Consider the following 12,823-nt stretch of genomic DNA (forward strand, 5'->3'; position numbering starts at 1 on the left):
TAGGCGTTGGGGACCCCTGCAAAGACATTCTAATACAGTTTCAACTTTGTGAGATGGAAAAGTTCTGGAGATCTGTTGTACAACAATGTGAACATACTTGACAGTACTGAGCTGTACACTTTAACACGGTTATGATGGTAAGTTTTATATTATATGTCTTTTATGGCAATTAAATTAAAAAAAAAAACTCTAAGCCGGGCAAGGTGACTCACTCCTATAATCCCAGCACTTTGGGAGGCCAAGGCAGACGGATTGCCTGAGCTCAGGAGTTCGAGACCAGCCTGGCCAACATGGTGAAACCCCATCTCTACTAAAAATACAAAAATTAGCTAGGTGTGGTGGCACACGCCTGTATTCCCAGCTACTTGGAGGCTGAGGCAGGAGAATCGCTTCAACCCAAGAGGCAGAGATTGCAGTGAGCCAAGATAGCGCCACCGTACTCCCACCTGGGTGGCAAAAGTGAGACTCCATCTCAGATTAAAAGAAAAAAAAAATTCTTACCACATCAAAAGAACATTTTGTTTTGTTTTGTTTACAATCCTAACAATTAACTATGGGAACAATTTGTGAGGATCAACCAACGCCCTTTGGATCTGCGGATGGTCTCATAAAGATTGCAGTCACCCGCCAATTCCACTTCTCATGCAGCCCTGGGCCTCTTCTGGCCTCAGAACTGACTTTTGGGCAGGGAGCTGTGGTACCCTAGAGAAGTGGCAGGAGATCTCTGGTCTTGGGCCTGACGTCCCCCTACTCACGTGGAGAACCAAATGGCCAGAGCTCATCCTTGCGAAGACGCAACACGAAGCAATACCTTAAAAGGCCACGAGGGGGAGGTGTGATTCCATAAATGAAGTGGTCTTTGCACTGGTGCCTCTTTCAGGGTTAATCTAAGCCTTCTAATTGATTCGTAGCCTGCTGTGTCTATGTATCTTTCTTTCTTTCCTCTCCTTTAAGGGCCTTATTTTAGAGATAATACATCAAATAAATGTTTGTTCTGTATATTGAATATAGTTTTATGTTCTGCATGAAATGCACTCCCTTTAGCAGGAAAAAAAATATTTGCTGCTTTATACTTATTTGTTCCTCTCCAGCTATGTTTCAGCGTGGTTCAGTGGTCCTCCTGTGGAAAACGTTCCCCTCGCCTGCGCTAAAGGCTTTGAAACCTTGGACAAGTATCAAAGAGTCCATGATGTCACAGAATGTAGAATCTGCTTTTGGGGTAGATGCTGGCTCAGCTATTTGCTCACATATCAACTATAGCTGTGTGCCAGAGGCATGCAGGAGGACAGAGGTGGGCAGATCTGATAATAGAAAGACACGATGCTACCAAGCTGCATGTCAGAACCACTGATGGAGCTATGAGAAAATGCAAGGGGGGCACGGTGGCTCACACCTGTAATCCCAGCTCTTTGGGAGGCCGAGGTGGGTGGATCACCTGAGGTCAGGAGTTTGAGACCAGCCTGGACAACATGGTGAAACCCCATCTCTACTAAAAATACAAAAATCTTTCAGGCGTGGTGGTGGACACCTGTAATCCCAGCTACTCAGGAGGCTGAGGCAGGAGAATCACTTGAATCTGGGAGGCGGAAGTTGCAGTGAGCCAGGATCGTGCCACTGCACTCTAGCCTGGGGAACAGAGGGAAACTCCATCTCAAAAATAATAATAATAATGAAAGAAAAAAGAAAATGCAAGGTGGAGTGTGGGCAGCAGGGAGGGTCTGTATTGTTCCAAAGCTCACAGGACTTGTGCTGGGAACTGCAGAGGTCCACTGAGATACGTGGAAAGCAATGTGATTAGACACCATCATTTCCATGTCACCTTAGAAAGCTCCATCCTGAAGAATTCCTGCTGACCTTATGGAGCTTTCCTGTGAAAAAATGGAGAGCCATGAAGAGATTTTAAGCAGAGACTAATCTCATCAGAATTAGGTTCTAGAAAGATCCTTGGGTAGCCAGGTGGTAGAATGACATGGGCAAGATTCTGGAAAGAAAGAATGTAAGAGGTCACTGCACGTCCAAGTGCAATGATGAAGCCATGGGCCCGGAAATGGAGAAAAGAGGACAGGAAGCAAGTGGGGGTGTTGAGAAAATAGAACCCCCCAGTGAGGGTGCAGAACAGCAAGAAGCTACAGATAATGTGGGTGACTGGGTGGGCCCAGTAAGACAAGGATCGCAGAAGTCAGGAAGGGGGCACGGGCTGAGCTTCACAGAGGCCACTGAGGGTGAGGTGCCCTTAGGACATCAGGCAGGGATGGTTGGGACACACGTGAATATTCAGGGTTGGAGCTCAGATGCAGGGCTGGGTCGGAGGTAATGAAACTCCCCACTACACTTCAGAAAGCCACCAAAGAGCTCTGCCAGGGCCAGTATTGAATTTCTGCCTGTGGAATCACCACAAGCAAAGAAGGCCAGATGTGGAAGACAAAATCATAGCCCCTTACAGAGGCCCGCGCCCTTCTCCCCAAACCTGTTGTTGGGGTGATCAGATCCAACACCAGGTCATGAGGGCGACAAAGTCTGGCGGAGTCAAAAGATTGAGAAAAGACAGTTTGAGAGAGACAAGTGGGACCAAGGGGCTATCGCAATTGTGGAAGCTGTGAAGGCCCCGAGCTCTGGGGAGCCCATGCTATTTATTGGTAATGCAACAAAGAAACAGGTGGTGAGAATGTGGAGGTTGAAAGGGCACATTGTATTAAGCCCATGATTTACAGCTGTGATGGTTTAGCATTTGCTCTGCTACTTGAGATAATGGAGAGCAGGTTCTTTTAACTCAAGATACAATTGATCCTGGGAGATCAAGGAGCCAGCAAGTCTAGACACATTCTAGAGCCACAAGCCCTGGATTCTATCCAAGCCATGAGGGATTTTATGCCCTAGGATTAGATTATGGTGCGGCAGGGCAGCCTTCCACCATTTAGCACAGAGCTTGGTGTTCCAAAGGCCACAAGGGGTTTTAGGCCCTGGACCCCGGACATGTTCCGAGACTCTTTTACATTATGTCAGACATGCAAGCCCTGCCTCAGCTTCTCCCAACACTCAGCTTTTCCCAACACCTGTGAATCTGTTTTCCTTTCTTTTCTATTTTTTTTTTTTTTTGAGATGGAGTTTTGTTCTTGTTGCCCAGGCTGGAGCGCAGTGGCGCAATCTCTCCTCGCTGAAACCTCCGCCTCATTGTGAATACAAATAGGATAATAATAATGAGCAGTCACGATGAATTATGGGTAACAACTTTGATGCTTTTTAAGGTTTGATAACATTCATGAAAGTCTTTGTAAACCACAAGAGTTTACCAATATCCAGGCCCTCCATTATTCTTTCTGGGTGACTCTCCACCAAAGAGAACGTACATGGCACTCCCTCCCCAGGGAGCACTTACATGGCAGAAATCCCCCACTGGATCCCGGCATTATTGCCTGCAGAATCCAAGAGGGGCAGGGCCACTAGGCAGTTAGTTGGAGCAACGGCCAAGGAGCAGATGAAACCCATGAGAAAGCCAGTCAGGCCTGAGAAGCCCACCAGCATCCGGACACAGGAAGTGACCATGATAGCACCCTGCAGCCGAAGGGGAGAAGTGCTCAGGACTGTGGGCCTCAGCGCGGCCCAGGCCACCGTAACAGTCCCGGAGGCTGCAGCCCCTAGGCGCGGCCCAGGCCACCGTGACAGTTCTGGATGCTGCAGCCCATGGTGAAATCTGGTGACCCCTAGGCGGTTCTTAGGCAGTGCAGGGGCAAAGCTGGACCCCAAAGGAACTGAGAGAAGGAGAACTCTGATTTCCCTCCTCCCTCCAGTCTGTATTTCCAACTGCGTGTTGGACTTTTTCGCTGAACAAAGCTTTTCAGGAAATAGGCTTCAAAATTAATTATTGATTGTAGTCACAATGATGATGATGTTGGCGACTCCCAACACTAGCACACTCGGTCGTGTATTGAACATCTTGCTGCAGCATTTTTCTGTTTTCCTAGTTTCTATTGCAGAGGTCGGGAAACTTTCTGGGTTTCTTTGTTTTGTTTGGTTTTGTTTTGTTTGTTTGTTTTGACGGAATCTCACTCTGTCACCCAGGATGAAGCGCAGTGGCACGATCTCAGCTCACTGCAACCTCCGCCTCCCGGGTTCAAGCGATTCTCCTGCCTCAGCCCCCTGAATAACTGGGATGACAGGTGCGCGCCACCATGCCCGGCTAATTTTTTTTTTTATTTTTAGTAGAGACAGGGTTTCACTATGTTGGTCAGGCTGGTCTTGAACTCCTGACCTCGTGATCTGCCCGCCTGGGCCTCCCAAAGTGCTGGGATTGCAGGCGTGAGTCACCACGCCCGGCTATGCAAACTTTTTCTGTAAAGGACCAAAAAAGTGAATATTTTCAGCTTTATGCCCATACGGGCTCTGTCACAACTTTTCCAGACAAGATGTGAAGAAATGAGTGTAGCTGTGTTCCAATAAAACTTCACTTATAGACACTGACATTTGAATTTCAGATAATTCTGATGTGTCATGAAATGTTCTTCTTTTGATTTTTTTAACCACTTAAAATGTAAAACCATGCTTGGTCGTGGGCTGTCTGCTCTAAAGGAGGTGATGGGCCAGATCTGGCTCCTGGGCTGCAATTTGCCAACTTATCTGCTGGATTAAGTTTGCTTTATTTCCCCATTTTATTTTACTGTTTGGATGTTCGACTTGTTATTTTATTCTTTTAGAAGTTGCTCACAACTTTTTAATGTGAATTGTTCACTTAACACTGCCCATGGGTAAATAAAATGTCTAGTCTCCCATCAAATAGTACAGTGACCTTAGAAAACTTGAACTTCTACCACCATTCTGCTATTGTTGTCAAATATTTGTTTATTTTTCCACTGCCATTGCTCATTATTGTTTTTATTATATTTTCCTACAATTAGTGCTTATTTGGATTTACCTAGTACTGTGAAGTAAACGTTTGTGTTCCCTCAAAATTCATATGATGGTGTTTGAAGATGGAGCCTTTGGGAAGAAACTAGGTTTAGATGAGGTCATAAAGTGATATGGTTTGGCTGTGTCCCCACCCAAATCTCATCTTGAATTATAGCTTCTATAATTCTCACATGTTGTGGGAGGGACCTAGTGGGAGAACCGAATCATGGGGGTGGTTTCCCCCATACTGTTCTCATGGTAGTAAATAAGTCTCACAAGAGCTGATGATTTTATAAGGGGTTTCCCCTTTCACTTAGCTCTCATTCTCTCTTGCCTGCTGCCATGTAAGACGTGCCGTTCACCTTCCGCCATGATTGTGAGGCTTCCCCAGCCACCTGGAACTGTTTGGTCCATTAAACTTCTTTTTCTTGATAAATTACCCAGTCTTGGGTATGTCTTTATCAGCAGCATGAAAACAGACTAATACATAAGGGAAAAGCCCCTTTGATGGGCTTAGTACCCTTATAAAGAGAAGAGATTTTTCTCTGTCTTCTCTCCTCTCTCTCTCTGCATGTACCAAGGAAAGTCTTTGTGAGGACACAGCTAGAAGGTGGCCATCTGCAAGCCAGGAAAGGAGCACCCCTCAGAAGCTGACCATGCTGGCATCCAGATCTCAGACTTCCAGCCTCCAGTACTGTGAAAAAATAAATTTCAGTTGTTCAAGCCACCCAGTCTATGGTTGGTTTTTGTTTTTGTTTTGTAAAGACAGGGTCTCACTATGTTGCCCAGGCTGGTCTCGAACTCCTGGACTCAAGCAATCTTCTGGCCTTAGCCTATGAAGTAGCTGGGACTACAGACATATACAGGCACTGCACCCAGCTATAGTATTTTGTTGTGGCAGCCCAAGCTGACTAACCCACCTATGTTTTCTACCCATATGTTCCTCTGCTCACTTATAGCTTCTTTTCCACCACTCTTTCATTCGAGATTCCATTTCCTTTTTCCTGAAGTTTAGCTTTTAATAATTATTTTAATAAGGGTCTGTGACTGATAAACTCTTAGTCTTCGTTTACCTGAAAATGTCTTTATTTTGCTATCAGTGTTGCCTGATGTGGGGTTCTACAGTGGGATAGAATTCTAGGATGATAATATTTTCTCTTAGCATTTTGAAAATATTCCATTGTCTTCCAGCCTCTACCGTTGCTAGTGAGAAGGCTGCTAACTGTCCAATTGCTATTCTTTTGTAGGCATTTTTTTCTGTCTTATTACTTTTAAGATTTTTCTCTTTGTATTTGTATTGCAGTTTCATTATGATATATCTAATTGTAGACTTAATTGTTTATTACACTTGGGACTACATGTGCTTTTAAAATCTGAATATTCATATTTATCTGTTCCAAAATAGTATTAGCCATTATATCACTTCTAATACTATCACTTTTCCATTTTCTCATTATCACTTTCAGGAATTCCTGTTAGAAACATGCTGGACTTCTCAGTCTAGCTTCACATTTCTTAACTTCTGTTTCATATTTCTCATCCTCTATTTCACATTTCCCATCTTTTTATCTCTCAGTGCTGCATTCTGGATTATTTCCTTAGATAATCTTTCAATTCATGAATATCTCTTTAGCTGTGTCTAAATGCTGTTTAACTCATTAAATGCATTTTTTAATTGCAGTGACTTTATTTGTTTTTATTACTAAACTTCTATTTGGTTCTATGTTCAAATTTCCTTGTTCTTGTTTCATTTTATCTTCTAGATTATGGTTTCTATTGCTTCTTGAGTCTCTTTAATTATTTTAAACATATTGATTTACTATTATCTTTTAAATTGTTCTATTAGCTCTGGATTCTACTGATTCTCTCTCATAATACATTATTACCTGGTGTGAAATGACAAAATTTATGTCTGTGAACTCTTCTTCAGGGGCATTCTTTTTCTTCCCTGTGTCTTACGTGCTTTAGAATGTGGAAATATCCCTAAAGAATAATTGTACATTTTCTTCTGTGAGAACCACAGGTATTTTATTGGCAGGACCAGTTTTAGCTTTAATTTCTGAGCTTGCAAATCTTTCCACCACACCCATATGTGTTCACGTGTTGTAGAGTTGGAGTCCTTATTTTTCATGCAACTCCATATTCTAACACTTCCCACAGACCTCTAGGAAGAATAAAAGTTTCCTTGTTTATTCCCTGGAATGGTAGCGTTATTATTTCCCACGCTCACTGAAGTGGGTGCTCTTCCAGATCCCAGTTGATCATTACAACCCAAGCTCCTAGCCTTCGGTCCTATATCTGGGTCTGATTCTTTACCTAACCATCATAAGCCACATGATCCTGGCTATAATTCCCATCTTTGTTTCTAGAAAGTAAGGTTTTCCTCCTTGGTTTTGAACTTGATTCTGGATTTAATAACCGTTCATCCAGCATTTTCAGGTGTTGGTAATGTTTGTGGGTTCTATGTTAGCTCAAACTACCATGATACTGGAGGATGACGTTTAAATTGGTCTAAGGTGTTGAAAACTGAATTTGCCGTTTCTTCCCACGGTTTTCTACTTTTTCTGCAACCACCATTCCCGCAAAACAGAATCATCTTTCACTTTTCCCTCTCCACTACTTCTTGCATCCCAATGAGTAATGATAATCCTGTTGGTTCCATATTGCTGTCACTTTCATCTGTGGCTAGTATTGTGCTGTATAATTGGTCGGCTGACCGTCAGTGGTTTCAAACCTTGAGATGTGTGTGGATCAGTATAACTTAGTGAAACATGAGGAATCTATCTTCCCTTCCAATAGGCTGACTCGGTGAATAAAACCAATCAATCATCAATTAATAAGATGAAGTTGCAATTAGCAAGAACTTTCTCGTGTTTACAGCACTGGTGAAAAACATTGGCCCAGCAGAGGGAGCTAAAATACCACAGCTAAGACCCCAGGTTTGTGACACACTGTGTTGGACACTTGGGGGCAGTGTGGGTGAAGATGGCTCCCTTAGACCTGGGCCCTCTGTTTCAGAGCAACGATTGGCAAACTTTTTCCGTAAAAGGCCAGATAGTAAATATTTTAGAATTTGTAGGCCACATGTAGTTTCTGATGCACGATCTTTTTGTAAAACAACCTTTAAAAGCATTCTTAGTTCATGGGCCATTAAAGGAAAAGAGGTCACAGGCTGGATTTGGTCCAAGAGCCATATTTTGCAAACTGCTTTAGAGGATTCTACATATCACAAGCACAAAAGTAAACAGCAAATGTATTAAAGAAAATAAGAATGCCTCTGTCACTTGGAATCTAGTCCTCAGTGCTGGCAGGGCATGACCCAAATCCCTAAACATCCACTCTCACTACTGATACTGTTCAGGCCCCCAGGAACATTCCTTTCCATAACTGTTGTCCACCGTCCTCAAAACACAAGGCAACTGCTTCTAAATGCACTGAAGTTTTCTGTTTTTGCATTTTTAGACAGAGTCTTGCTCTGTTGCCCAGGCTGGACGGCAATGGCACAATCTCGTCTCACTGCAACCTTTGCCTCTCAGGTTCCAGAGATTCTCGTGTCTCAGCCTCCCGAGTAGCTGGGACTACAGGCGTGCACCATCACACCCGGCTAATTTTTGTATTTTTCATATAGATGGGGTTTCATCATGTTGGCCAGACTGATCTCAAACTGCTGACCTCAGGTGATCTGCCCGCCTCAGCCTCCCAAAGTGCTGGAATTATAGGCATGAGCCAACACACCCAGCCATACTGAAGTTTTTTCAGTTGTTCCATTGCAGTGATAGAGGCAGACATTGCATTAAAATACAGGAAGGATTTGAGCAGCAGAAGGGCTTAACTAGGAGTAAAGACGAATTAACTTGTCAGATCTTATTTCTTGGGAAGTAGGAAGGCAACAGATTCTTACATAAGGAATCGTAGTTCTCAGCGGGGCTGAGTGTAGGGAAACCCTGCCCTGGAATCTAGCAGAGCAGATGCCCAGTTTTAATTTGGATTTACCAAAGCCAAGTATAGGCTCCCCGGGGGACAGCAAAAAGCAACAAAAACAGGAAACCCCACAAACCCACAAACTGCATGTGTGCTGTGATTCATTCTATTGATGATACGATATGAATAGACTTCGCTGAAGAACTTCTTGATTTGGAAAAGGTAGTGCAGCACATACCGCTCTGAGATTGGACAACCGACCTGGCAAAACTCCAGGCCCCACCAGCTTGACGGGTGAAGGCCTTAGGTATATCTTGGTCTAGAGCTACATGGAACAGTTCTTTAAAGCTTGAAATGCCTTGTTAACTCTGGGTCCACCCTGAGATAAAAAGGAAGGACAGGAATTTGATGAGGCAATTGAGTCTACTTACATCTGGCTGTACTTTTGGACTATATGTCAGAGTACAGGCACATGCAAAAAGGCTGTCGTTGAAAGTAGAGAAGAGTAACAGAAGGTTCTAGCTGAAATTCACAAGTTAGGGCTCAGATTGGTCTATTGCATCCTCACAGGCACAGTGCTCCTGAGCTATGGGAAGTGTTGGTGATGGAGTCTACGCTGAATGAGGACTGACCCTGCAAAAGACAGGTGTCCAGCACTGCCATGGGGCTTTTGGTGCAGATGTGGCCCAAGGCAGCTACTCAACCACTCTGCCTTTGAAAGACCATTACCAAGCAGTCCACCACTGGGCATTGTTTGGGGTTAGACCACTAATGAATAAGCAAATAAGTGTAAATCAGAGATGTCAATCATGTCTTGAGTGATGTCAGAAAGACATTCTAATGAGGAACGGCCTGATAAACAAAATGTGTTGATTACAGGGAAATAGTCATATTCAGGAAAAAAAAAGACAATTACCCAGGAAAGATACATAATATCCACAAGCAAGTGATTTAGTCCCCATCCCCTAGGGCAGCCAAACCTCACAGTATAATCTAAATCCAGCAACAGAGACTTGGGCCCCATTGTACAAATCTTTGAATTCAAAAGCACTAGTTGGCATCTTTCTGAAGGTGGAACTCAATTAACTGGGAAAGGCTGGAACTAGAAGAATGCAACATTCTGTCCAGCCAACGGAAGGCCCCTGATAGAAGTATGGCAAGTCTAAGTCGGTCCAAAGGACCAAGGTGTGTATGACGTGGTAACTGTGCACATGCAAATCCTACCAGCAATTATACCATATGTAATTCCATGGATTCCTGGGCCATAGTTAATAAACTAACTGATCTGGCAAGTGAATCACAGAAAATGCTATTTACATTTCTTCCCTTTCATGGGACAGGACTTCATGGTTAAATTTTAGAGACTGGTTGTTCATGTTGATGCCCCTTAGTCTTAAAAAGAGGGAAGTATGTCTTTGAATGTAGTCACTAGAGTCCACAAGATGACACCTTGGGCCACAAGCCATGCACACACACGCTCACAAACAACATAATCCCCACCTCCATCTGTTGCCACTTGTGTCACCCAGGACGGTCCAGATTGCCAACAGCAATGGGCTCATGTGCCTTTGGTGGGGGAATATATTTTGAGGGTTTATGGCCCATCACAGAGCTGGCAGGCTGCCTATCCTGGACATATCGCAGAGCAAGGGAAATTTAAAGACTTAAAAAACTGGTATTGACAATGTTTCTGGTTTGAGCTTTGCCCATTCTGCAACTAAAGATCTGACCCAGAGTACTATAAAAAGACTGGCAGCCCAGATCACCCACCAACATGATATCAACTTACACATCAACAGCTCAAGGATCACTTTTCACAGCATGAACGGGGCAAGAGTAGACCAAGAAATACAATCTCAAATGACCTCTTCATATTTCACATCACTTCTACAAAGCAGCACAGTTTTGAAAAAAATTGCAATGTGTGCTTGAAGGAACAAAATGATGGTGAGAAAGACACAGAGGCCTGGCTTTCCAGGGTAGGAGAAGCACGAGAGCAAGTCAACAGCGGAGCATTGTCTAAGGCATAGGTTGAGAAATGGAGAGATAAGGAAATCTTTCCAGGACTAGGGATTTGATTGTGTTCCCTAAAGTAGGAATAATACAAATTAATTTAATTTCACTTGTTGGAACCCTGAAGGCATTTATGAGTTGTACTGATAAATCTGGTATTTTCAAGATGCACCCAACCCAGTGGAGAGGACCCAGTTACAATATACTTATTAAGTCATTTGAAGGTACCTTGGGAAGGACACATGAAGTAGGTTTAATGGTGTTACTTTTGCTGCTCAGTATTTGAAGGATAACAGAGAAGGAATCCAATACTCCTCCTTTAATAGGAGCAAGGGAATGGGCTCAGGCATCCCAGTGGGGGGAGAAAAGATGGTAGCAGAAAGAACTGGAGCCACCAGAAATACTGCTGTACCAAATGATGCTACTTTTGCCCTTTACCTTTAAAATAAGTTGCTAGTAAAATTATTTCTTAGCAATATTTTTAGATATGTCTTCAGTCTTAGATGAGAGACGATGGCATCAGAGTTGATTCTACCAAACTGGAACACATTTAATGTTATTGTCTTGATAAAACTGGGCCCAGAGTACACTTGGCTGAGCTGGATGGGCAAGGAGGAGGGACCGTTGTGAACACAGCCAATTCCTAATGTGATGCTGGCACATTAGGACATGGTCTGTTGCTTGAACTTTTATGTTAGATTAAGATTTGCATGACATTCAGTGAAATGAAAATCATGGAAATGATGATATCTGACAAAGTCTATATCAGGATATTTAACTCCAGTCACCAGTTAATGTGGTAAGCATAGGGAAAAAGTGACCCAAGGAAGTCAAACAGAACTACCAGTTGAGGAGGGACAATTATAATTAACTCTAAATCATCCCAACAGCATCATTAAAATGCTACAAATGTACCACCAGGACGGCTAAAACAAAAAAGATAGAAAATGTTTGTGAGAATGTAAAATAACTGGAGCTCACACACACTGCTGGTGGGAGTGTAAACTGGAAGATCCGCTTTGGAAATGTATTCATTAGTGCTTACTAAAGGTGGACACATACACATTCTATGACCCAACCAATGCTCCTCCTAAGTACACATTCAGGGGATGTACATATATACGTTTACTTAAGCACAAGTACACAAATATTCATAGCAACACTATTTACAACAGCAAATAACTGGAAACCACCCTTAAACACATAATTTGGATAACACAGAATTGATAAACTGCTGTCTGTTTATATAATGGAACATTATATAATGAAACATTATTCAGCAATGAGTATGAATAATCTACCACTGCACATAACAATATGGAAGAATCTTGCAAACATAATATTGAACAAACGAAGTCAGATACAAATGAATATGTACTGTGTGGTTCCACAAAGTTCACAAACAGATGAAACTAATTTGTGGTGTTAGAAGCTGGGATAGTGGTTACCGTTATGGGAGGGGTGACTGGAAGTAGGTGTGAAAGGGCTTAAGGGGTGTTGGTAATGCCTATTTCTTGAGCTAGGTTATATAGATCAGTTCAACTTTGAAAATGTATTGTGTTCTTTGCTTTATGCTTGTAAGACTTAAATTAAAAGTTTATTTTATGGCTGGGCATAGTGGCTCACACCTGTAATCCTAGCACTTTGGGAGGCCGAGGCGGGCGGATCACCTGAGATCAGGAGTTTGAGACCAGCCTGGCCAACATGGCAAAACCTCGTCTCTACTAAAAACACAAAAAATTAGCTGGGCTTGGTGGCACATGCCTGTAGTCCCAGCTACTCAGGAGGCTGAGGCAGGAAAATCGTTTGAACCCAGGAGGCGGAGGTTACAGTGAGCTGAGATGGCACCACTGCACTCCAGCCTGGGTGACAGAGCAAGACTCTGTCTCAAAAACAAAAAACAAAAAAGTTTATTTTAAAAGGTACTAGTTCGAACTTTGGAAGCAAGGAGGGAAAAAACAAACTACAGCAATATTATCAAGCACAGAATAGCATTGTTAGGCAC

The 12,823-nt window shown here is 43.1% G+C and overlaps 1 long non-coding RNA gene and 1 pseudogene across 2 annotated transcripts in view, besides 1 other annotated feature; both read right to left on the minus strand.

Annotated features, from left to right (window-relative positions):
- Positions 1–12,823, minus strand: part of LOC107984123 (uncharacterized) — a 60,858-nt gene that overhangs the window by 16,133 nt on the left and 31,902 nt on the right. The gene's annotated exons all lie outside the window — the stretch shown is intronic.
- Positions 701–750: an enhancer, noted in NCBI's record as "active region_26714". NCBI's record gives its function as "activates an Ori minimal core promoter by ATAC-STARR-seq in GM12878 lymphoblastoid cells {active_cell/tissue: GM12878}" and the evidence as "EXISTENCE:reporter gene assay evidence [ECO:0000049][PMID:35858748]".
- SLC23A4P (solute carrier family 23 member 4, pseudogene) overlaps positions 3,372–12,823 on the minus strand; it is a 36,345-nt pseudogene continuing 26,893 nt past the window's right edge.

The sequence above is a fragment of the Homo sapiens genome, chromosome 7 (assembly GCF_000001405.40).
Source record: "Homo sapiens chromosome 7, GRCh38.p14 Primary Assembly".
NCBI lineage: Eukaryota > Metazoa > Chordata > Mammalia > Primates > Hominidae > Homo > Homo sapiens.